The 25,101-nt window shown below is 52.7% G+C and overlaps 1 protein-coding gene and 1 long non-coding RNA gene across 4 annotated transcripts, besides 3 other annotated features; one reads left to right on the forward strand and one right to left on the reverse strand.

The window, feature by feature from the left end:
- Positions 1 to 80: 80 nt before the first annotated feature.
- TBCB (tubulin folding cofactor B) lies at positions 81 to 11,055 on the forward strand. Of its 3 annotated transcripts, none has more exons than NR_155756.2 (6): positions 81 to 788; positions 1,155 to 1,298; positions 5,824 to 5,920; positions 6,641 to 7,287; positions 10,565 to 10,637; positions 10,782 to 11,055. NR_155756.2 is itself a non-coding variant. In NM_001281.3 (6 exons), the coding sequence occupies exons 1-6, from the start codon at positions 675 to 677 to the stop codon at positions 10,894 to 10,896; spliced, it is 735 nt and encodes a 244-aa protein (NP_001272.2). In that variant the 5' UTR covers positions 582 to 674; the 3' UTR covers positions 10,897 to 11,055. The 3 variants fall into 3 exon arrangements, 2 of the variants coding, with proteins under 2 accessions (NP_001272.2, NP_001287900.1); NM_001281.3 differs by having other exon boundaries at positions 582 to 788; positions 6,641 to 6,832; NM_001300971.3 differs by lacking the exon at positions 81 to 788 and adding an exon at positions 884 to 1,042 and having other exon boundaries at positions 6,641 to 6,832.
- Positions 823 to 912: a silencer, noted in NCBI's record as "silent region_10547". NCBI's record gives its function as "represses an Ori minimal core promoter by ATAC-STARR-seq in GM12878 lymphoblastoid cells {active_cell/tissue: GM12878}" and the evidence as "EXISTENCE:reporter gene assay evidence [ECO:0000049][PMID:35858748]".
- Positions 1,223 to 1,312: an enhancer, noted in NCBI's record as "active region_14516". NCBI's record gives its function as "activates an Ori minimal core promoter by ATAC-STARR-seq in GM12878 lymphoblastoid cells {active_cell/tissue: GM12878}" and the evidence as "EXISTENCE:reporter gene assay evidence [ECO:0000049][PMID:35858748]".
- Positions 11,056 to 13,062: 2,007 nt separating the features above from the next.
- On the reverse strand, positions 13,063 to 25,096 carry LOC105372385 (uncharacterized). Its single transcript, XR_935954.3, has 3 exons — positions 25,005 to 25,096; positions 18,806 to 18,907; positions 13,063 to 13,472 (listed from the first exon to the last, which is right to left on the reverse strand). It is a non-coding gene; the product is annotated as an uncharacterized LOC105372385 (long non-coding RNA).
- Positions 13,365 to 13,594: an enhancer, noted in NCBI's record as "active region_14517". NCBI's record gives its function as "activates an Ori minimal core promoter by ATAC-STARR-seq in GM12878 lymphoblastoid cells {active_cell/tissue: GM12878}" and the evidence as "EXISTENCE:reporter gene assay evidence [ECO:0000049][PMID:35858748]".
- Positions 25,097 to 25,101: the final 5 nt, after the last annotated feature.

Genomic DNA, 25,101 nt, shown 5'->3' on the forward strand with positions numbered 1-25,101 from the left:
CCTTCCGCGCTTGCTCCGCCGCGCTACAGGTCGCGGGAGGGGCCAGGCCTAGGTGCTTCGCCAAAAGAGGGCGGAGCTGCGCACACGTGCTGGCTCCCCGCCGCCTCGGGCTCGGCTCTCTCCGCGCAGAGGTTTCATGGCTTGCTTCAATCTTTTGATATCTTAGAGTAATTGCTTCCAATTTTTGGGCATCGCCGCCTCAGTTTACAGAATAGTATGGATCTGGTGCCAGAGCCGGGAAAACGATGCGCATCGTAAACCGCAAAACACTGAGCATCCAGGACAGAAGCCAAGGCGCTTGGCTTGGTTGAAGGCCAGTGCGCATGCGCGAGTTTACCCTTCGCGGACTGGGCGAGCTCTTGCCACTCCTACCTCCGGGCTTCAGTCTTCGCCGCCTGTTCTGGTCCTTTCCCGGGCCGCTATTGGAAGAACCGTGAACTATGGAAGGCCCCTCTGGATTGGCTGGGCTGGCCCAAGAGTAAGGAGAGCCCTCTTCCTGGCGGTGGGGAAGGGACGGCGGCGATTGGCGGACGCTCCTGGCAGGAGAGCGCGGATTGGTCAGGCACGGAGCAGGAGGCGGGGCTGATAGCCCAGCAGCAGCAGCGGCGGCGGCGGCTGCGGAGCGGGTGTGAGGCGGCTGGACCGCGCTGCAGGCATCCGCAGGGCGCGGCAAGATGGAGGTGACGGGGGTGTCGGCACCCACGGTGACCGTTTTCATCAGCAGCTCCCTCAACACCTTCCGCTCCGAGAAGCGATACAGCCGCAGCCTCACCATCGCTGAGTTCAAGGTGTGGCCATGGGGGCGGGGTCCGGAGGGGCGGGGCGAAGAAATTGGGGGGTTCCCGGAAGGGGGAGGCTGGGAGGGGCCGGGGAGTGACTGGGCGGGCCCGGAGGTGATCCCAGGCTGCGGAGGCTGGGGACCCGGTCGCGGCGGGGCGGGTCCGGAGAGAACTCGAGAGTGCAGAGATGAGGGCCGGGTCCAGCGAAAAATCCGACGGTCCAGAGGGCGGGGGCAAGAGGCGAGGGGCTGGATTGCGGCCCCGTGCGTCCTGACTGGGGGGTCTTTTGGAGGAAAAGGGACGTGGCGATGGTCATTGATGCAAGGGGCGGGGCCTCCGTGGCCTCCTTCTTCTCACCCTGCCTCCTCCTCACAGTGTAAACTGGAGTTGCTGGTGGGCAGCCCTGCTTCCTGCATGGAACTGGAGCTGTATGGAGTTGACGACAAGTTCTACAGCAAGCTGGATCAAGAGGATGCGCTCCTGGGCTCCTACCCTGTAGATGACGGCTGCCGCATCCACGTGAGGACTCTCTATCTGGGACACTCCCCCACCCCACCTTTCATTTGGTTATTCAACAGACACTTGCTGGGCTTTGCCCTCAGTCATACCCGAGATAGGTCCTGCCTTCGTGGAGCCTCCAGTGCAGCCTGACGAGAGACAGACCCATCATTAGACAGGGACAGCCTAGAGTGGTCTGGGCTGGGATCAGGAAATCCCAGGGGACTGGAGCCACCAAGAAGAGGTGCCTGACTCCACCTGGGAGAATCAGAGAGGGCTTCCTGGAGGAAGGGATGTCTGAGCTGAGGGATGAGGAAAGGGTGACTTAAGAGAAAGAGGTGGAAAGGAGGGAGCAGGGTGTACAGAGGCCTAGAATGTGAGGTAGGTCACAGTGAGCGACCAGGCTGGACAGCTTGGGAGAAACCAGAACACAGGATCTCTTTGTGCATCCACTCAGTACATCCTTTCTGTCTTTTTTTGAGACAGAGTCTCACTCTGTCACCCAACCTGGAATGGAGTGCAGTGGCACTATCGGGCTCACTGCAGCCTTCACCTCCTGGGTTCAAGTGATCCTTGTGCCCCAGCCTCCCGAGTAGCTGGGATTACAGGTGCCCACCCAGCTAATTTTTGTATTTTTAGTAGAGATGGGTTTTTGCCATGTTGGCCAGGCTGGTCTGGAACTCCTGACCTCAAGTGATCAGCTCACCTTGGCCTACTAAAGTGCTGGGATTACAGGCGTGAGCCACCAAGCCCAGCCCCTTTCTGTCCTTATTCCCTCCCGACCTCACTCAGTCTGTAGCAGCCACATTGCTCCTTGCACAGTCCAGGTGAGCTCGGCCTCTGGATCCTGGGCCTGAATGGTTCTTTTGTCATATGCCTGCGTGCCTCACCCTTCCTTCCTGTCTTAATTTAAAGTGTCAGTATTCTAGTGAAGTCTTCACCGGCCTCAGTGTTAACGTTTACCTCATTCCTTTCCCCTTCTTTGCTTTATTTTAGATTTTTGTGTTTACAAGTAATTCTCCTCTGACACACTCTGGATTTCTCTCATCTGGTTTATTTACTCTCTGTCTCCCTGGATTCGAGTGCCCTGAGGGTGGAAATTTTGATCACTATAATTCACTACTGTGTCCCCAGTACTTGGAATAGTGCCTGGGACAGGGAGGATAGTCCGTGAATCGTTTTTTGTTTTGTTTTGTTCGAGACAGAGTTTTGCCCTTGTTCCCCAGGCCGGAATGCAGTGGTGTGATCTCAGCTCACTGCAACCTCTGTCTCCTGGGTTCAAGCTATTCTCCTGCCTCAGCCTCCCAAGTAGCTGGGATTACAGGTGTGCACCACCACGCCTGGCTAATTTTGTAATTTTGTATTTTAAGTAGAGTTGGGGTTTCACCATGTTGGCCAGGCTGGTCTTGAACTCCTGACCTCAAGTGATCTGCCCACCTCAGCCTCGCAAAGTGCTGGGATTACAGGCATGAGCCACCACGCCCAGCCCTGTGAATCATTGTTGAATGATGAATTGAATCCATAAAGTAAGACCACAAGGATAATGTAATTATCCCCATTTTGCAGAAGAGAAAATTTAGCTTCAGGGTGGAGTTTATTTATTTATTTTTTATTTTTTTTGAGACAGAGTCTTGCTCTGTCTCCCAGGCTGGCGTGCAGTGGCATGATCTCGGCTCACTGCAACCTCCGCCTCCCCGGTTCAAGCGATTCTCCTGCCTCAGCCTCCCGAGTAGGTGGGATTACAGATGCCCGCCACTACACCAGGGTAATTTTTGTATTTTTAGTAGAGACGGGGTTTCACCATGTTAGTCAGACTGGTCTCGAACTCCTGACCTCAGGTAATCCGCCCACCTCGGCCTCCCAAAGTGCTGGGATTACAGGCATGAGCCACCGCACCCGGCCCAGAATCTACTTTCTTAAGGATGAACTGTCAGTAGCATTTTGGCCCCAGTCTACATGACTCTAGAGAGAACTGCTTCTTTTTTCTCTCGTTGATTAACTGTTCATTCCCCATCTGTGTTGTGCCAGGGGTTTCATTATGACTGCATCTGAGAAGTTCTAGTGTATGAGGCAGATGTTGGCTAAATGGCCAGAGGACTGAATGTGAAGGGTCAGGGGAGACAAGGGTTGTGTAGGAGATCATGAAGCTGGGAGACCCTATCCTGGGGTACCTGATGCATCAGTGACGTCTGGGAGGACATCCTGGAGGTGGTGCTGCTGGAGCAGAGACGAGAAGAATAAAAAGAATTGGTCGGGCATGGTGGTTCACGCCTGTAATCCCAGTGCCTTGGGAGGCTGAGGTGGACAGATCACTTAAGGTCAGGAGTTCGAGACGGTGAAACCCCGTCTCTCCTAAAAATACAGAAATTAGCTGGGCGTGGTGGCAGATGCCTGTAATCCTAGCTACTCAGGAGGCTGAGGCAGGAGGATCACTTGAACCCAGGAGCTGGAAGTTGCAGTGAGCTGAGATCACACCACTGCACTCCAGTTTGGATGATAGAGTGAGATCCTATCTTTAAAAAAAAAAAAAAAAAAAAGGTTAACTGAAGATGGGGAAGGGGTGCCCTAGGAGTGGGGCACAACCCAGCAAACACTCCAAGGTGGGAGGGAGCGCGGTGGGGATTAAGACAGGCCACTTCTGTGGCCAAACACTGTGGAAGCTGGGGAGGACCCTGACCTGGCTCAGGTGTTCACAGGCCCCCTCTGGCTGTGTGTGGGGAACAGGTGGTGGAGGACAGGAAGAGTAGGGAGACCAGGAAGGGGCTGCTGTGAGAGTCCTGATGAGGGGACGAGGTCTGGAGCTGTGGGTCAGGCCTCTGCTGGGTGCACAGGACTGAGCCTTTGGGCCACCCTGGGCAGCTGAAGCTAAGGGGTGCGGGTGTTCATAGGCACCTCATAGGCAGTGGCATCTTTGAGCAGGTTTCATAACAGGCGGTTCAGGTACACACAGACCTCCCAGGCCACTCAAGGAAGGTGTTCCAGAGTGGAGCCACTGGGGAATTTTTACATTTTCTAAAATTCTTTTTCTCTTTATAAATATCACCCATATTCATTGTTTAAAATAACAGAACTTCAAATTTGTGAAAATTCTCAACAGAAATTCTCAGTGACGCTTCATCCGGAGGTAAAGGCCATTCCTATTTTGCCATGTTAGCCCAGTGGCTTAGGCCAGACACCTCAGGGTGTTCCTTGGGCCCGCTCTCTCCCTCACCCCCACATCCACTCTCATCAAATCCTCTCGGCTCCACCTACAAAAACTTCCCTGACCCTGGTCCAGCCTCCATCCTTCCCCCAACCTCGCCATCCCGGCAGCTTCCTCCCTGGCCTCCCCGCTCCCCATCTCAGCCAGAGGGAGCCTGGGACCACCTGAGTCAGGCCAGGGCCCTCCTAGCTCAGAGCCCTGCCCTGGTGGCACTTCGCTCCAGATAAAAACCAAAGTCTAGGCCAGGTGCGGTGGATCGTGCCTGTAATCCCACCCAGTACATTGGGAGGCTGAGGTGGGAAGATCACTTGAGGTCAGGAGTTCTAGACCAGCCTGACCAGCATGGCAAAATGTCGTCTCTACTTAAAAATACAAAAATTAGCCGGGTGTGGTGGTGTGTGCCTATAGTTTCAGCTGCCCGGGAGGCTGAGGCAGGAGAATCACTTGAATTTGCAGTGAGGCAGAGGTTTCCGTGAGCTGAGATCACACCACCACACTCCAGCCTGGGTGACAGAGCGAGACTCCGTCAAAAAAAAAAAAAAAACCCAAAGTCTCCAGCAGTCCCTTGTGTCTTCCACTCTCCCTCTGGCTCGCTCCACCCCACCCGCACCACCCACTCTAGAGCGTGAAGGACATTTCTACCTCTGGCCGTCTGCACCTGCCGTTCTTGCTCATCTTTCCAGCCTTGGCTGAAACATCCCCTCTTTTGGGAAGCCTACCCTCCCATGCTCCTTAAGCCTCTTCCCTGTCATATTTTTCTCCATAGCCATCCTCCAGTGTTTCATAGGTACCTGTTCCTTTGTTTGTGGTTGGCCTTCTCCCTGCACAATGAGCACAGCCTGAGGGCAGAGTGCGTCTGTGTTTACACTGAGTCCCCAGCATGAGGCCCAGCTGGGCCCCTGGGAGCTCGGAAACCAATGAATGAATGAATAGTGGGGGCAGAACAGGAAGAGATGCTCTGGGGCCTGAGGTTGGGGCCAGCTTAGGAGAGTCCCAGAGGCCCATCGAGGAGATGCGCTGTGCACAGGGCTGTGGGCAAGGCCTGAGCTCTGCCGGTTGGACTCTGTGACTTTGGGGCCCTTGGCGATGTTGATGCCAGCAAGCGGGGAACTTCTGGGGACAGAGGCAGCCTCTGGGAGCTTGGATGGGGGTGAGGAAGGGGAGGTGGCCAGTGTACGTAGCTACTTCTCCCTTCCGCTGGGCTCAGGAGAGAAGAGAAGGCTGCAGTACAGGCGAGGGAGGGAGATGCGTTTTTCCCAGATGGAGACACTGAAGTCCCTGCACCCAGCACCCAGGCCTCCCTGGCCAGACCCTGATCCCCACGGAGCCCCTCCCCTCACACAGGTCATTGACCACAGTGGCGCCCGCCTTGGTGAGTATGAGGACGTGTCCCGGGTGGAGAAGTACACGATCTCACAAGAAGCCTACGACCAGAGGCAAGGTACGGGCAGGTGGGCGTCGAGGGGTGCGTGGGGGCCAGAGGGAGTATGTGCAGGTATGAGGGCGGGCAGGTTAGACAGGGCCCCTGCAGGGAGGCCAGTGGTGTAGACGGGGGGCCGAGAGCTTGGGAGGATATAGGGGTGAGGCTGGGAGTGGGGACAGACGGAGGCCTGGGGTGGGAATGAGGGCCGGGAGGTGTCAGGGGTATGGGCAGTCAGACGTGGTCGGGGGAGGGCTGGGAAAGTGGAGGGAGTTGAGGGGTAGGTGTGGGGGCTGGGTGTTGTCAGGGTCAGATGGGGGCATGGGGCGGTCGGACGGGGTGTGGAGGGCAGGACAGGTGGAATGCGAGTGGACAGGGTGGCGGTCAGTGAGGGCGCCTGGGACGGATCGAGTGTTGGGGGAGACCGGGGGCCTCAGGGCCGGAGGAGGGCGGAGGAGGAAGGCGGATGATGAAGGCAGATGTGCGCTGAAGGGGTGAGAGACCATGGGTCCTGTAGTGAGGGGTGCAGGCGGCACCCCTTCCATTTACGATTGTGGAGTTGGGGGGCCTAGGAGTCCTGGGAGAGGCTAAGGCTGTGGTGGGAGACCTGGGGCTTGGGTGACAGCCCTTTGTCACCTGGAAGAGAGAGTTCCTCCGTGAACGTGGGCCCCTCGTGGGTGGAGCGTCATCCTGTTAGGCCCGGCCGACACCCCAACTGACCCCAGCCCCCTCTGCCCACAGACACGGTCCGCTCTTTCCTGAAGCGCAGCAAGCTCGGCCGGTACAACGAGGAGGAGCGGGCTCAGCAGGAGGCCGAGGCCGCCCAGCGCCTGGCCGAGGAGAAGGCCCAGGCCAGCTCCATCCCCGTGGGCAGCCGCTGTGAGGTGCGGGCGGCGGGACAATCCCCTCGCCGGGGCACCGTCATGTATGTAGGTGCGTGGCTCGCGGGCCCGGTCCCGGGCTCCAGGGCTCCAAGGCCGGGAGGAAATGTTGGGGGCACAGTGGAGCCTCGGAGACCACGCTCTGCCTAGGGGCGCGGGGTTGGGGGGGACTCGAAACGATCTCAGTCCCTGGAGGTGACGGAACCATCTGCCGACACTGACGGCCCAGAGTGTTTGTGGAGGGAAGTGGGAGGCGCAGGCGGAGTGATCTGTCCAGCGAGGGAGGAAGCAGAAGCCAGAGGCACGCGGCCTGTGCGCTTCGAAGCGTGGGGCAGTGTCAGTCGCGGTGGGGAAACGGGCGGCGTGACCAAGGCAGGAGTGAGGGAACACAGGGGGCTGTGTGAGCCCAGAGGAAGCACCTGGAGGCTGGGAGCATCTGAAGGAAAGGAGGCAGCAGCCAGGTGAAAAGGGAGGAAGAGTTCCCGCCAGAAGGAGTAGCGGGTGCAGGTGAGCAGAGCGCAGGAGGTCCACCTGGGGAAGGGGAGCGGGAGGAGAGGGGAGAAGTGTAGTCAGGGGCATGGGCAGGGCGGCGTCACAGTGGAGAGCAGTGTGGATTTTTTTAAAAAGAACAGGCTAGGCATGATGGCTCACGCCTGTAAACTCAGCACTTTGGGAGAACAAGGTGGGAGGCTTGCTTGAGCCCCGGAGTTGGAGGTTACAGTGAGCTATGATTGTGTCATTGCACCCTAGCCTGGGCAGCAGAGAAAGACCCAGTCTCAAAAAAAAGGCTGGGTGCAGTGGCTCACACCTGTAATCCCAGCACTTTGGGAGGCTGAGACAGGAGGATCACTTGAACCCAGGAATTTGAGACCAGCCTGGGCAACATAATGAGACCCTGTCTCTACAAAAAAAAAAAAAAAAAAATCCCACAAAACTTTTGTCAGTTGTGGTGGTGAGCACCTATAGGTGCCCCAGCTACTTGGGAGGCTGAGGTGGGAGGATGGCTTGAGCCCGGGAGTTGAGGCTGCAGTGAGCTATGATCGCACCACTGCACTGCAGCCTGGGTGACAGAGGGAGACCCTGTCTCCAAAAAAAAAAAAAAAAAAAGATACACGGGGTACATATATGTATTGTTACATGGGTGTGTTGCCTGCTAGTGGGTGGGGACCGGGCTTCTAGTGTACCCATGACCCAAATTGTGAACATCGTACCCAACAGATAATTTTTCAACCCTCACCACCCTCCTGTTTCTGGCATCCCCACTGTCTGGTATTTCCGTCTTTATGCCTGTGTGTACCCATCCCCCAGTCGTCTTCAGCCACTAATTTACGTCTGTCTCTAATTTGCCGATTCTGGATGTTTCATAGGAATAGGATCATGCAGTCTGTGGCCTTTTGTAACTGGCGCCTTCCACTGAGCAGAATGCTTTCAAGTTTCATCCGTGGCATGCCTGTGTCAGTGCCACACTGTTGCCAAATAGTCCTGCATTGAGCGCCTAGACCACAGTGTATCCAGTCACCAGTTAGTGGACATTAGGGTCATTTCCACTTTTTGGCTATTATGAATAATGCTGCTATGAACCTTCTTCTTTTTTTTTTTTTTTTTTTTCTAATTTGAGACAGCATCTGGCTATTGCCCAGGCTGGAATGCAGTGGCACAATCTCGGCCATTTCAGCCTTAACCTCTTGGGCTCAAGCCATCCTCCCACCTCGGCCTCCTGAGTAGCTGGGAATACAGGTACTCATCACCACCCCCGGCTAAAGTTTTGTGGTTTTTTTTGTAGGATGGGATTTCGCCATGTGGCCCAGGCTGGTCTCAAACTCTTCCCGCTCAAGTGATCGTCCTGCTTCAGCCTCCCAAAGTGCTGGGATTACAGGTGTGAGCCACCATGCTAGGCCTGAACATTCTTTTATAAATTTCTGTGTGGCTGGGCATGGTGGCTCATGCCTGTAATTCCAGCACTTTGGGAGGCCAAGGTGGGCAGATCACCTGAGATCAGGAATTTTGAGACCAGCCTGGCCAACATGGTGAAACCCCATCTCTACTAAAAATTCAAAAATTAACTGGGCGTGGTGGCGGGTGCCTGTGATCGCAGCTACCCGGAAGGCTGAGGCAGGAGAATCGCTTGAGCCTGGGAGGCGGAGGTTGCAGTGAGCCAAGATCACACCACTGCACTCCAGCCTGGGCAACCATGCAAGACTCCATCTCAAAAAATAAAAAATACATTTTTATGTGGACATTTGTTTTCATTTCTCTGTGCCTAGGAGTGGAATCCCTGGGCCACATGGTAACACTGTGCTTGACTTTTTTGAGGACCTGCCACACTGCTTCCCACAGCCGCTGCAGCAGTTTTCATTCCCGCCAGCAGTGCAGAAGGGTCCCATTTTGTCCTCATCCTCACCAGCACTTTAGTCTGTCTTTTGCTTACAGTCATCCACTGGGTGTGAAGTGGAACATCATCATGGTTTTGATTTGCACTTCTTTGGCAGCTAATGATGTTGAGCATCTTTGCATGGCCATTTGTGTATCTTCTTTGGAGAAATGTCTATTCAGATCCTTTGCCTTTTGTTTTTTGACACACAGTCTCACTCCGTCACCCAGGCTGGAGTGCAGTGGTGCTCTCAGCTCACTGCATCCTCTGCCTCCCGGGTTCAAGCAATTCTCATGCCTCAGCCTCCCGAGTAGCTGGGATTATAGGTGAGCGCTACAACACCTGGCTAATTTCTGTATTTTTAGTAGAGACAGGGTTTTGCCATGTTGGCCAGGCTGGTCTCAAACTCCTGGCCTCAAGTGATCCACCTGAGCTGGTGGATCTCCCAAAGTGCTAGGATTACAAACATGAGCCACTGCGCCCATCGGTATGTCGGGGTTTGGTTTTGTTTTTTTTCTTTTGAGACGTAATCTCGCTTTGTGCCCAGGCTGGAATACAGTGGCATGATCTCAGCTCGCTCGTTCCAACCTCCGCCTCCCGGGTTCAAACGGTTCTCCTGCCTCAGCCTCCCGAGTAGCTGGAACTACAGGCGCCCGCCACCACACCCGGCTAATTTTTTGTATTTTTAGTAGAGACGGGGCTTCACCGTGTTAGCCAGGATGGTCTCGATCTCCTGACCTCGTGATCCACCCTCCTCAGCCTACTAAAGTGCTGGGATTACAGGCGTGAGCCACCGCACCCGGCCAGTATGTCATCTTTTGAGAAGTGTGTGTTCATGTCCTTTGGCCATGATCGTGGCTCACTGCAGCCTCAACTTCCTGTTGCCCACTTTGTAATGGGATTTTTTTTTTGCAAAGTGGGTGTTCTTTGAGTTCCTTGTATATTCTTCTGCTCAGTTTTTCATTGGGATGCTGTCTTTTGTCGCTGAGTTGTGTATTAGTTTGCTAACAAAGTACCACTCACTGAGCAACTTAAAGTTATTTCTCACAGTAATGGAGGCTAGAAGTTCAAGATCAAGCTGTCAGCAGGTTGGATTTATTCTGAAGCCTCTCTCTCTGGCAAGGCAGTAGTGCCATCCCCCTTAGGTTTTTACAAAGCCCTCACTGGCTGGTGTCTTCACCCAGTGAATGGGGGACAGGGGTGGAAGCAGGGACACCAGTGAAGTGGCTACCATATTAGTCCCGGCAGGAGCTGGAGGTGGTCCTAGTGGTAGCAATAGAGGTAGCAAGAAATGGTTTTCACCAAGACAGGCTTCTACTCAATGGGTAGGCATGGATCCAGGGTGATCCTGAAATTTCATGGGGATTTCTTCTATGTCCAGAAGCTTCACAGGGATTTCTCTTCTGTTGGCAGGTCTCACAGATTTCAAGCCTGGCTACTGGATTGGTGTCCGCTATGATGAGCCACTGGGGAAAAATGATGGCAGGTAACAAGAATTCCCACTCAGGTGTCTGTGTGTGCATTTGTGTGTAAGTCCATGCGTGCTGCTTGCTGAGCTGCCCATGCCAGCTTCTAGAGTGGAGCCATGTGAGGGTCCTCTGACCACACCCACCCCTATCCTTTCCTGCAGTGTGAATGGGAAACGCTACTTCGAATGCCAGGCCAAGTATGGCGCCTTTGTCAAGCCAGCAGTCGTGACGGTGGGGGACTTCCCGGAGGAGGACTACGGGTTGGACGAGATATGACACCTAAGGAATTCCCCTGCTTCAGCTCCTAGCTCAGCCACTGACTGCCCCTCCTGTGTGTGCCCATGGCCCTTTTCTCCTGACCCCATTTTAATTTTATTCATTTTTTCCTTTGCCATTGATTTTTGAGACTCATGCATTAAATTCACTAGAAACCCAGAAAGTATTTAGAGGACTTCATGATTTGGGGACCCACTGGGTAAATAGTGGCCCTTCGGTATCAGGGGCCAGCCTCTGTCTCCTCATATCTTGCTGTTCCCCCATCTTCTCATCATTCCCACCTCATCTGCTGTAGCTACCAGGAAGAAAGGGAAGGGAAGGGAGGGGATATCCTTTGCCTTTAAAAATGATGTACAGCCAGCTGGGCACGGTGGCTCACGCCTGTAATCCCACACTTTGGGAGGCCAGGGCGGGTGGATCACGAGGTCAGGAGATCGAGACCATCCTGGCTAACACGGTGAAACCCTTTCTCTACTAAAAATACAAAAAAATTAGCCGGGCATGGTGGTGGGTGCTGTAGTCCCAGCTGCTGGGGAGGCTGAGGCAGGAGAATGGCGAGAACCTGGGAGGCGGAGCTTGCAGTGAGCCAAGATCATGCCACTGCACTCCAGCCTGGGCGACAGAGCGAGACTGTCTCAAAAAAAAAGATGTACAACTCTGGCTGGATGTGGTGGCTCACACCTATAATCCCAGCACTTTGGGAGGCCGAGGCAGGCGGATCATGAGGTCAGGAGATCGAGACCATCCTGGCTAACATGGTGAAACCCCATCTCTACAAAAAATAAAAATAAAAAAATTAGCCAAGCATGGTGGCGGGCGCCTGTAGTCCCAGCTACTCAGGAGGCTGAGGCAGGAGAATGGCGTGAACCCGGGAGGCAGAGCTTGCAGTGAGCTGAGATCACGCCACTGTACTCCAGCCTGGGCAACAGAGCGAGACTCCGTCTCAAAAAAAAAAAAAAAAAAAAAAAAAAAAGATGTACAACTCAGCCAGGCACAGTGGCTCATGCCTGTAATCCCAGCACTTTGGGAGGCCGAGCTGGCAGGTCGCTTAAGCCCAGGAGTTTGAGATCAGCCTGGACAACATGGTAAAACTTCATCTCTACAAAAATGCAAAAAATGAGTCAGGTATGGTGGCGCATGCCTGTAGCCCCAGCTACTTGGGAGGCTGAGGTGGGAGAATCACTTAAGCCCAGAAGGTCAAGGCTACAGCGAGTTATGGCACCACTGCATTCCAGCCTGGATGACAGAGCAAGACCCTGTCTCAAAACCAAAAAAAAAGAAAAGAGGCCAAGCACGGTGGCCCACGCCTGTAATCCCAGCATTTTGGGAGGCCGAGGCGGGAGATCGAGATCATCCTGGCCAACATGGTGAAACCCTGACTCTACTAAAAATACAAAAATTAGCTGGGTGTGGTGGCGCGTGCCTGTAATCCCAGCTACTCAGGAGGCTGAGGCAGGAGAATGGCTTGAACCCAGGAGGTGGAGATTGCAGTGAGCTGAGATCGTGCCACTTCACTCCAGCCTGGGGACAAGAGTGAGACTCCGTCTCAAAAAAAAGAAAAAAAGCCAGGCATGGTGGCTTATGCCCATAATCCCAGCACTCCGGGAGGCCGAGGAGGGCAGACCACTTGAGTTCAGGAGTTCAAGACCAGCCTGGGCAACATGGCAAAAACCCTGTCTCTACAAAAAATACAACAACAACAAAAATTAGCCGGGTGTGGTGGCACGCACCTGTAGTCCCAGCTACTTGGAAGGCTAGGTGGTAGGATCACTTGAGCCTTGGGAGGTAGAAGCTGCAGTGAGCTGTGTTCACACCACTGCACTCCAGCCTGGGTGACACAGCGAGACTCCATGCCGTGACACCAGCACGTGGCGTGTCACATTATTAAGGATTATACAGCCAACAGTTACTGGGCTGGTTTCCTTTAATCCTCACAGCAGGCCCTGTCCGCAAGTCTTTCACCGTTTCCCGTCAACACTCCACCTTTCCTGCCCAAAGTTTGGGGTTGGGAGGGAATTCCCAGGGGTTCCCAGGACTTGGGCTCGCCTCCCAGATCCCGCAACCTTTGCGTGCCTAGCCTCGGCAATGACCGCCCATCTGCCACGAGGGGGCGGCAGCGCACCGTTCAGACGCTGCGCCCCTGGTGCATTATGGGTCGCGTAGTCTCAAAGGTGGCATAAGCATCCTGGAACGCAAACGGCATTTCCCAGAAAACTACGCGACAATCTGAGCCTGGTCTTGCCCAGAGCTGGAAGCTGAGGTCTCGCCCCTGCCGGCGTTGCGGGGGATTGTGGGATGTAGGCATTTGGCTCCGCGCTCCGCGAAGGGCGGTGCAGCGCAGGCGCGGGCATCCGGTACAGACAGCCGAGCTTAATCTGAGGCGGGGAACCAGCGTCCCGGGGGAGGCGCCGAAGCTGACTTTCTGGCCGCAGTGGAAGTGAGGCGAGCGAGCTCCCTTAGTGGCTGGAGCCGGCTGGGCCTCCTTCCTGTCCTCCTGCTTTCCTGCATCTCTACTTGTCCCTTTCCCCGGGCTCCTGGTCCGCTCCCAAGCCTGTTCAAGCACGAGGCGTTTCCATCTAAAAAAAGAAAAGAAATCTCTTTTGCCGGGCGAGATGTCAGAGCCCCGGGAGCGAAAGTGTTGGTAATGTTAGACAGAATGAGTTCCTCTTCAAAAATCTAACTTCCTTGTCCTTTGCTCTATGAACTGTCCTTCCTGCAGAAACTGCCCTTACCGGGGAAACTGCCCCTCCCCGCCGCTGCAACCCATACCCCGCCTCTATTAGAAATAGGCAATCGGAATCAGCTTAGATTGTGAGGTCCAACCCTAGCCAACGGGGGTTAAAAACCCCTGCTCTCCTTTATTAGGTGTGCTTTTGGTACAGGTCTGGGCAGCACGCTTCTGCAGAAGTAAACTTTGCCTTGCTAAGAAACTTTTCTCCGAGTGCTGGTCTCTCTCTGTGGCACCAAGAACTTATTTCTAACAGTAAGAAGAATTTACTGAGGACAGCGTAGGCTTGAAAAAGAAAAGTTTTACTAGAAAGAATGCTGCCGGGCACTCACGCCTGTAATCCCAGCACTTTGGGAGGCCGAGGCAGGTGGATTGCCTGAGCTCAGGAGTTCGAGACCAACCTGGGCAATACAGTGAAACCCCATCTCTACTAAAATACAAAAAACTAACTGGGCATGCCAGCATGTGCCTGTAGTCCCAGCTACTTGGGAGGCTGAGGCAGGAGAATTGCTTGAACCCAGGAGGTGGAGGTTGCAGTGAGCTGACATCATGCCACTGCATTCCAGCTTGGGTGACAGAATGAGACTCCATCTCAAAAAAAAAAAAAAAAAAAAAAAATGAAGGAAAGAATGCTGCAGGCCAGGCAGGGTGGCTCACACCTGTAATCCCAGCACTTTGGGAGGCCGAGGCAGGCGAATCACCTGAGGTTGGGAGTTCAAGACCAGCCTGACCAACATGGAGAAACTACTAAAAATACAAAATTAGGCGGGCATGGTGGCCCATACCTATAATCCCAGCTACTTGGGAGGCTGAGATAGGAGAATCGCTTGAACCCAGGAGGCGGAGGTTGTGGCAAGCCAAGATCACACCATTGCACTCCAGCCTGGGCAACAAAAGCGAAACTCCATTTCAAAAAAAAAGAGCTGATTTTTTTGTTTGTTTTTTAGACAGCGTCTTGCTCTGTTATCCAGCCTGTGTGTGATCCCGGCGGTGTGATCTGAGCTCACTGTAGCCTCAACTTCCCGGGCTCAAGTGCTCCTCCCACCTCAGTAGGCCCCATGAATAGCTGAGACTACAGGCACATGCCACCACACCCAGCTAATTTCTGTATTATTTGTAGAGGTGGGGTTTCGCCATGTTGCTCAGGCTGGAGTGCAGTGGCACAATCTCGGCTCACTGCAGCCTCAGGCTCCTGGGCTCAAGCAATCCTCCCACCTCAGTCTCCCAAAGTGCTGGGATTCCAGGTGTGAGCCACTGCGCACGGCCAAGAATAAAGATTTTAATAAAGTAATGTGAAATTAACATGAAAAGCCAATAAGGAAACTGGGCAAATATTTGAAAAGACAATACATAAAAGAAACACCAATAGCCAAAAAACCATGAAAGCCAAGTTCACCCCCATTCATATTTGAAGAATGTTACATAAAATATTGAGACACCACCTTTTGCCTGTCAAATCAGGAAAGATGTTTATTTTTATTTTTTATTTTTGAGACAGGGTCTCTCTGTCATCCAGGCTGGAGTATGGGGCACAATTTCGTCTCATTGCAACCTCAAACTCCTGGGCTCCAGCGATCCTCCCACCCCAGCCTCCCAAGTAGCTAGGAGCACGGGCACACCACTATGCCTGGCTAATTTTTTCAAAACACTTTTTTGTAGAGATGGAGTCTTGCTATGTTGCCCAAACTGGTCTCAAACTCCTGAGCTCAAGTGATTCTCCCACTTCAGCCTCCCAAAGTGCTGGGATTATAGGCATAAGCCGCCATGCCACAAAATTTTACAAGAAAATTTCAGCCAGCATTTGACAAGATTCCAGGGGACATGAATGAAATACCTAAAGATAAAAGAGTTCCTTGAGGCCAGTTAAGGTGGCTCATGCCTGTAATCCCACCACTTTGGGAGGCCAAGGCAGTGGATCACAAGGTCAGGAGTTCAAGACCAGCCTGGCCAATATAGTGAAACCCTGTTTTACTAAAAATACAAAAATTAGCCTGGCATAGTGGCGGGCACCTGTAATCCCAGCTACTCAGGAGGCTGAGGCAGGAGAATCGCTTGAACTTGGGAGGTAGATGTTGCAGTGAGCTGAGATCACAGCAATGCACTCCAGCCTACAGAGCGAGAGACCCCTCTCAAAAAAAAAAAAAAAAAAAAAGGAGTTCCTTGACAAAAGAAATGTGGAATTTGCTGCCTTGAACTAAGTTAAATTAGCTGCTTTGTTGCAGGAATTTTCATTAATATGCTAGTCCATGATAACCTGTATAAAAGGATCCTCTTGGGCATTACTTTCTGGGTTTTTTGTTTGTTTTCAGAAACAGGGTCTTGCTCTGTCATCCAGGCTGGAGTGTCATGGTGTGATCATATATCATATCTCACTGCAGCCTCGAATTTCTGGGCTCAAGCTATCTTCCAGCCTGAACCTCCTGAGTAGCTAGGACTGCAGGTGTGTGCCACCATGCCCAGCTAATTAAAAAACTTATTTTTGTACAGATGAGGTCTCATTATGTTGCCTAGAGTGGTCTCTATTCCTGGGCTCAAGAAATCCTCCCCTCTCAGCCTCCCAAAGCACTGAGATAACGTGTGTGCCACTGTGCTTGGCCTGAATTTTTTATTTTAAAATACATTTTGTGAGCTGTGCTTAGTAATGCACACCTGTAGTCCTAGCTACTTAAGAGGCTGAGGCAGGGGCATCGCTTGAGCCTAGGAGTTTGAGACCAGCCTGGACAACACAGGAAAACCCCATCTTTACAAATAATCAAAAAATTAGCCATTACTCGGGAGGCTGAGGCATGAGAATCGCTTGAGCCTGAGAAGTTGAGCTGCAGTGAGCTGTGATTGCACCACTGCACTCCAGTCTGGCTGGGTGACAGAGCATGACCCTGTCTCAAAAAAAAAAAAAAAAGGAAAAAAAATTATTCAACAACAGTTGTTAAAGCACAGGAAGGGCTGGGCACGGTGGCTTCCGCCTGTAATCCCAGCACTTTGGGTGGCTGAGGCAGGCAGATCACATGAGGTCAGGAGTTCAAGACCAGCCTGGCCAAAATGGTGAAACCCCGTCTCTACTAAAAACACAAAAATTAGCTGGGCGTGGTGGCCCACACCTGTAATCCTAGCCACTGGAGAGGCTGAAGCATGAGAATCTCTTGAACTCGAGAGGCAGAGGTTGCAGTGAGCCAAGATCACGCCACTGCACTCCAGCCTAGGCAACAGAACGAGACTCCATCTCAAAAAATTAAAAAAATTAAAAATAGAATAAGGCACAGGAAAGGAAGGCTTTATTCAGAGCCATTACGATAGAGAGAGGGGCCACAGTGGCAGGGCCTTGCAGTGAGGGAGACAGGTTGGGCTCAACTCCAAATACTGCATGGGGAAGTGGGAATTCATAGCCCAGGATCGGGTGGGGCGCAGTGGATTGAAAGTTACTAAGAGGAAACATCAGGGGTAAGGGGGGATTCTGGCTAAACCAGCCTAACAGGATTCTTGCTGAAGACAGGCCCAGGTGATCAGACATCACATAGGGGCTGGTGGAGGATGAGGAACCTAATCAGATGTTGAAGATGGGAGAGGGTTCTCGATAAACTGACTTAGCAGGGTTCTTTGCTAAAACTGGATTTGACAAGGGAGTACACAGATGAGCCTAGCAGAAGATTCAGAGACTTGACTAGTTTGGCCATGCAAGAATTTCTTTTTTGTTTTGTTTTTTTCTGTTTGTTTTGTTCGGCTCACTGCAACCTCCACCTCCTGGGTTCAAGCGATTCTCTTCCCTCAGCCTGTGGAGTAGCTGGAATTACAGGTGCCTGCCACCACACCCGGTTTGTGTGTGGGTGTGTGTATTTTTAGTAGAGATGGGGTTTTGCCATGTTGGCCAGGCTGGTCTCGAACTCCTGACCTCAAGAGATCCACCCACCTCAGCCTCCCAAAGTGCTGGGATTACAGGTGTTGAGCCACCTCGCCCGGCCCAAGCAAATAATTTTTATCAGGGAATTGACTCCAAAGAAAAACAATAGGAGAGGAGGTCCTGCAGGGTCACAGCCCATACAAGAGTCTGGCCGCAAGGAAGCCTGGTAAGAGGAGAGGGAACAGAGCGGTGCTGACCTGCTGAAGGGAAGGCAGAGGTCGGACAGGTACCCGGATTAGTCATCACATAACAACTTGGCATCAGCCATGCTCTGCCATCTACTGTGTGGCCTCAGGCAAGTGACTCACTCTCTCTGAACATCCACTTCCTCTCATGTTGGTTTCTTTCTCAGAGGCTTGTGAGAGGCCTTGGCAAGCCATGGCCATAAAGCAATCACTGGCTGGGCATGGTCCCTCACGCCTGTAATCCCAGCACTTTTGGGGCACCGAGGTGGGAGGATCACTTGAGGCCAGGAGTTCAAGACCAGCCTGGGCAACATAGTGAGACCTGGTCCTTACAAAAAATAAAAAAATGATTCAGGTGTGGTGGTGCACACCTGTAGTCCCAGCTACTCTGGAGGCTAAGGTGGGAGGATCCCTTGAGCCTAGGATTTTGAGGTTGCAGTGAGCTATAATTGTGCCACTGCCCTCCAGCCTGGGTAATGAAGTGAGACCCTGTCTCACTTTTTTTTTTTTTTTTTTTTGACATGGAGTCTTGCTCTGTCACCAGGCTGGAGTCCAGTGGTACGATCTTGGCTCACTGCAACCTCTGCCTCCCGGGTTCAAGTGATTCTCGTGCCACAGTCTCCCGAGTAGCTGGGATTACAGGCACTCACCACCACACCCAGCTAATTTTTGTATTTTTAGTAGAGACGGGGTTTCACCATATTGGCCAGGCTGGTCTCCATCTCCTGACCTAGTGATCCACCCGCCTTGGCCTCCCAAAGTGCTGGAATTACAGGTGTGAGCCACTGCACCTGGCCAAGAAAAAAATTTCTTGCTTATACAAAGTCAGCTGTGGGTCTGGGTGACTATCAAGAGCAGAAGTGCTCGATGCCAGGGCTCGGCCCTCTTCCTTCATGTGGCACCTCCAGGTTTGCTCAGCTCCTAGTGTGACCCGGGCAGGAGAAAACAGAGCATGGAGCATTCTGCACTGCCTTCCCCTGCGCCCGCCATAAACACAAGGTCTTGCTCTGTCCACTGGGCTGGAGTGCAATGGTTGCACTGGTTTTTAAATGCTTCTACAAGGAGCATTTAAAGTGTTCTACATCCAACACTTCTACTTACATTTTATTGGCCAAAGTAAGTCAGATAACTCCTGAGTTCAGCAGATCCTGGGAGATGGCGGAGGGCATTAGTAATGCTTGCCCTACTGTCTCACTGCTGGTGCTGAAAATCCAATGAGAAAATACACACAAAACATATTCATTCATTCAACAAATGTTTACTGGGCACCTATGATGTGCCAACCACTGTTCTAGGAACTGGATACATACCTCTGAGTGAGTACATAGCAGTGAACAAGACATATAGAAATCCCAGTCCAGCCGGGTGCAGTGGCTCACACATGTAATCCCAGCACTTTGGGAGGCCAAGCGGATGGATCACCTGAGGTCAGGAGTTCAAGACAAGCTTGGCCAAGATGGTGAAACACCATCTCTACTAAAAATACAAAAATTAGCTGGGCGTGGTGGCGGGTGCCTGTAATCCCAGCTACTCGAGAGGCTGAGGCAGAGAATTGCTTGAACCCAGGAGGTGGAGGTTGCAGTGAGCCGAGATCGAGCCACTGCACTCCAGCCTAGGCAACAGAGTGAGACTCCGTCTCAAAAAAAAAAAAAAATAGAAGTCCCAGTCCGTGGCAAGCTCACATACTAGCGGAGGAGACAGAAATCTGGATCAATATGTAAAGTACACAGGGCTGGGCGTGGTGGCTCATGCCTGTAATCTAAGCACTTTGGGAGGCTGAGGTGGGTGGATCACCTGAGGTCAGGAGTTCGAGACCAGCCTGGCCAACATGATGAAACCTTGTCTCTACTAAAAATACAAACAAATTAGCCGGGTGTGGTGGTGGACACCTGTCATCCCAGCTACTTGGGAGGCTGAGGCAGGAGAATCGCTTGAACCCAGGAGGTGGAGGTTGTAGTGAGCTAAGACCGTGCCATTGCCCTCCAGCCTGAGCAACAAAAATGAAACTCCATCTCAATAATAATAATAATAATAATAAAACAAAAAAAAAAGTACACAGTACGTGAGCGGGTGATAAAAGACAGGACCTTCCCGTGATCACTAGATGTGTAGACATGAAAGATCTGCTTCCCAGACCTGGGGCTGGAGAAGGTCTTGGTAAGGGAGTGGTGGCCTCATGTCTTCATGTCTGCCCTGAGAGAGGCTGTTTGGATGTTGCTGTGCTTGCAGGGCCTCCATGCTGAGTTTTGTCTCTGTTCAGCTGGGAACATGCAGGTGACCTTGCCAGGCAGGCATCTTCTCACTTTCTCCAGGGCGAAGAGATGAGGGCAGGGAGGTGACAGGACAGATCACTAGGGGTGGCTGTCATGAGAACTTTAGGCTGGAGTGCAGTGGTGCAATCAAGGCTCACTGCAGCCTCTACCTCCTGGGCTCAAGTGATCCTCCCACCTCAGCCTCCCGAGTAGCTGGGACTACAGGCACATGCCACCATGCCTGGCTAGTTTTTGGTATTTTTTGTAGAGATGGGGTCTTGCCATGTTGCCCAGGCTGGTCTCAAACTCCTAGGTTCAAGCGATCCTCCTGCCTCAGTCTCCCAAAGTGCTGGGATTCCAGGCATGAGCCACCGCACCTGGCCCTGTTGTGAGAACTTCTGACTCTTTCCTGGAGTGGGGTGCAGCCAGGGCAGGGCTCTGAGCCTACAGGGCCCTGACCTGACTCAGGTGGTCTCAGGCTTCCTCTGGCTCCACAAGAGGAGCAGACAGCAGGGAGCAGACAGAAGGGAGCAGGCTGTGGGGTGTCCAGGTGGGAAAGGATGGAGGCTGTGGCAGGGTGGGGACAGTGGAGGGGAAGAGTTTAGTTTCTGTAGGTGGAGCCAATAATATCTGCTGACAGGTTGGAGTGGGTGTGAAGGAGAGAGGTGAAGGACCACCCCGGAGTGTTTGGCCTCAGTCACTGGAAGGACAGAGCTGCCACTGACCTAGGTGGGGAAGGTAGTGAGGGAGCAGGTTCTGGAGGAAGGTCAGAAGCTCAGTTTAGGATATGTAAAGCTTAAAATGCCTCTAAGGGCCAGGTGCATTGGCTCACACCTGCAATCCCAGCACTTTGGGAGGCTGAGGCGGGTGGATCACGAGGTCAAGGGATTGGGACCATCCTGGCCAACATGGTGAAACCCCGTCTCTACTAAAAAATACAAAAATTAGCTGGGCATGGTTGCGCATGCCTGTAGTCCCAGCTACTCGGGAGGCTGAGGCAGGAGAACTGCTTGAACCTCAGAGGTGGAGGATGCAGTGAGCCGAGATCGCGCCACTGCACTCCAGCCTGGTGACAGAGCAAGACTCCGTCTCAAAAAAAGAAAAGAAAAAGAAAAAGGAAAAAAAAAGCCTCTGAGATCTTCCATCCTTTCCCATGGAAATGGTGAATATGATGCAGGATGTAGGAGCCTGGAGTTCGCAGGAGGTGTCTGGGCTGGAGATAGAAATTTGGGGGTTAGGGTTAGGGCCAGGTGCAGTGGCTCACGCCTGTAATCCTAGCACTTTGGGAGGCTGAGGTGGGAGGATCACTTGAGCTCAGAGTTCAAGACCAGCCTGGGCAACACAGTAAGACCTCATCTCTACAAATAATTAAAAAAGAAAAAAGATAAAGGAAATTTGGATGTTTGCCGGGCGTGGTAGCTTGTGCCTGTAGCAGTAGCTATTCAGGAGGTTGAGGCAGGAGGAGGATTCCTTGAGGCCGGGAGTTACAGGCTGCAGTGAGCTACATCACATCACTGCATTCCAGTCTGGGTGACAGAACCCCTGTCTCTAAGAACAACACAAAAAACTGGGCGTTGGCCGGGTGCTGTGGCTCATGCCTGTAATCCCAGCACTTTGGGAGGCCAAGGCGGGTGGATCACAAGGTCAGGAGATCGAGAACATCCTGGTTAACACGGTGAAACCCCGTCTCTACTAAAAATACAAAAAATTAGCCAGCGTGGTGGCAGGTGCCTGTAGTCCCAGCTACTCTGGAGGCTGAGGCAGGAGAATGGCGTGAACCCGGGAGGCGGAGCTTGCAGCGAGCAGAGATCGCGCCACTGCACTCCAGCCTGGGCGACAGAGTGAGACTCCATCTCGAAAGCAAAACAAAACAAAAAACTGGGCGTTGATAGCCTAGAGACAGGATTTAAGCTGTGCATGTAGGGGAGGCACCCCATGGCATGAGTGGTACAGAGAGGAGGATAGAGACCTAACACCTGGGGCTGCCGGGAATAAGGGGTTGGGGGCCAGAACTAGATGACAATATGGTTACGATTGGCAGTGAGTGCCATGAGAAAGTACAAGTCATTTTGAAAGCATATAACTGGAAGCCTCACCTAGTCTCAGGTTGGGTGGAGACAGGGAGGTCTTTCTGGAAGAGATGACTCCTGAGGTGACACCTGCAGCCTGAGTAGCTACACAATCAGGCCAGAAAAAAAAAGGCAGCAGGGGAGTTCCTGGCCGAGGGCATGAGGGCTGGCAGCAAGTGAGCCTCGGGAGAGGGCAGAGAGCTGGAGCAGTCAGTCTGGCAGGGAGGGGTGTGGTGAGAAGGGAATCTGGATTAGTCATCACCAAAAGATCTGTGCCAAGCCCGGGTTCAGATCTGGTTCTGCCACCCTCCGTGACCCTGCCTTTCAGAATCTCCATTCTCTCTCCTGCCCTGCAGACAAGGCTTGTGTAGCAGTTACCTTGGCCTGGCCCCAGCAAGGCCTCAGGAAACATCAGCTGCAACTAGTTTTGTCTGTTGTGATGTTGTTATTTGACCTATTATATTAATTATATTATTAACGCATAAGGGTAGTGGTTAAGGATACAGGCTAGGGAGAGTGACTGCTTGGGTTTAACCTCAGAGTCGGTTTACTTATCTGTAAAATGGGGATAATAAATAGCATCTATGTCACAGGGCTGTTAGGAGAACAAGGGAACTGATGGACGTCAAGCACTTGGAGGAGTGGTTGATGGTTACTTGTTTTTGTATCTTTTTTTTTTTTTTGAGACAGTTTCGCTCTTGTTGCCCAAGCTAGAGTGCAATGGCACGATCTCGAGTCACTGCAACCTCTGCCTCCCGGGTTCAAGCGATTCTCCTGCCTCAGCCTCCCGAGTAGCTGGGATTACAGGCACACGCCACCACGCCTGGCTGATTTTTTGTATTTTTAGTAGAAACAGGATTTCACCATGTTAGTCAGGGTGGTCCCAAACTCCTGACCTCAGTGATCTGCCCACCTCGGCCTCCCAAAGTGCTGGGATTACAGGCGTGAGCCACCACACCTGGCCTGTTTTTGTACTATTTAAGGAAGACTAAGAGTCTACCAGCTGAGGAATACAGCTGGCCTCGAGGCTGAGGGAACAGCATGAGCACAGACACAGAGCTAATGGGGGCATTTACAAAGCATTTATCACCAATTTATTTATTTATTTATTGGAGACGGAGTTTCACTCTTGTTGCCCAGGCTGGAGTGCAATGGTGCAATCTTGGCTCACTGAAACCTCTGCCTACTGGGTTCAAGCGATTCTCCTGTCTCAGCCTCCCGAGTAGCTGGGATTACAGGTATGCACCACCACATCCGGCTAATTTTGTATTTTTTAGTAGAGACAGGGTTTCTCCATGTTAGTCAGACTGGTCTCGAACTCCCGACCTCAGGTGATCTGCCCGCCTCAGCATCCCAAAGTCCTGGGGTTATTGGCATGAGCCACTGTGCCCAGTATTTATTTGAGACAGAGTCTCGCTCTGTCACCCAGATTGTAGTGCAGTGGCATGATCTCGGCTCACTGCAACCCCCGCCTCCTGGGCTCTGGTGATCCCCCCACCTCAGTCTCTAGAGTAGCTGGGACTAGGCGCATGCCACCACATTCAGCTAATTTCTGTATTATTTGTAGAGACAAGGTCTCACTATATTGCCCAGGCTGGAGTCAAACTCCTGGGCTCAAGAGATCCTCCTGCCTCAGCCTCCCAAAATGCAGGGAATACAGGCATGAACCACTTCACCCAGCCACCACTTAAGTTTTTTTTTTAATAATCAGTATTGCTGCAGATATCATTTAATTTTGATAGGGGGCCTAGTGGTATGGAGCAACCCATGTTCCCATTTTACAGATGAGAAAATCGCTGCTCAGGAATATCAAGCCACTCTTTTGGGGTTGTGCAGTTATTACAGGGCACAGCCAGGATTCAACTCAAGCCTAGCCAGCCTGCAGGGTAGGGGATAAGAGCCAGCCAGCCTGCCTGGGGGCCAGATTTAGCTCCCCCCGATGAGTCCTGAAAAAGTACTGGACTCCCGTGGCTCATGCCTGTAATCCTAGCACTTTGGCAGGCCGAGGCAGGTGGATCACCTAAGATCAGGAGTTTGAGACCAGCCTGGCCAACATGGTGAAACCCCGTCTCTACTAAAAATACAAAAATTAGCTGGGTGTGGTGGTGCATGCCTGTAATCCCAGCTACTCGGGAGGCTGAGGCAGGAGAATCGCTTGAACCTGGGAGGCAGAGACTGCAGTGAGCTGAGATGGCGCCACTGCACCCCAGCCTGGGCAACAGAGCAAGACGCTGTCTCAAAACAAAAAAAAAAAAAAAGAAAAGAAAAGAAAAGAAACCAGGCTATGTAAAAATATTATTGTAAAAAATTAAATTAAATCAAAAAAAGGCCGGTAGCCCATACCTGTAATCCCAGTACCTCACAGTACTTTGGGAGGCTGAGGCAGGAGGACGGCTTGAGGCCCGGAGTTCAAGAGCAGCCTGGGCAACATAGCGAGACCTCCGTCTCTATTATGTAAAAACAATAATATTTTTTAAGTAAATAAAGAAACCAGGCCGTGGCCAAAGGAATCTTCCTGTGTCTGGGGCCTTCTTTAGAGGCTAGCATACTGAGGACACTCTTTGGGCCAGTCCAGGAAGGAATGATTCTGGTGGCCCCTGACTGGGGCGGGGGCGTGGTAAGGTTCGCCTGGGAGGCGGCGCAGGCGCTGCCTGCGGTTTGACTGCCATCCGGGCTGCTGCAGGCACTGGGAAAGGCAATCCAGCCTCAATCCTCGCCACAGACACGGGCGACTGTCCCCCAGCGTGTGAGTCAAACCATACTCCAGGCCTCCAGGAGGTGTTTGTCGCGACAACACCTGCAGAGGGCCCGTGCGGAGTCCCTTAGTGAGCGGACCGAAAACCGCCACCCTGGAAGGATATTGGCATGCCCTAGGGTGAAAATTCACACTACGACACTCGGGGGGTGGGTCCCCTCCGAGTTCTCGTCCGCGGGTGCCTCCACCCAGACCTGAGGGGTGTCGGGAAGACCCCCGCCTACCGAGTCAGGGCGGGATTAAGACCTCCGGCGCTGGAAACGCGTAGGGCGGGGCCCAGACCTGGATCCAGCTAGCCGGGCGGTGTGGGGTGCGCATGCG

The sequence above is a fragment of the Homo sapiens genome, chromosome 19 (genome assembly GCF_000001405.40).
Source record: "Homo sapiens chromosome 19, GRCh38.p14 Primary Assembly".
NCBI lineage: Eukaryota > Metazoa > Chordata > Mammalia > Primates > Hominidae > Homo > Homo sapiens.

Coding starts and splice junctions, on each gene's coding strand:
- TBCB (NM_001281.3), top strand. CDS start 675: ATGGAGGTGACGGGGGTGTCGGCACCCACGGTGACCGTTTTCATCAGC. Junction 789..1,154: donor TCACCATCGCTGAGTTCAAG/GTGTGGCCATGG, acceptor TCCTCCTCACAG/TGTAAACTGGAGTTGCTGGT. Junction 10,638..10,781: donor CTGGGGAAAAATGATGGCAG/GTAACAAGAATT, acceptor CCTTTCCTGCAG/TGTGAATGGGAAACGCTACT.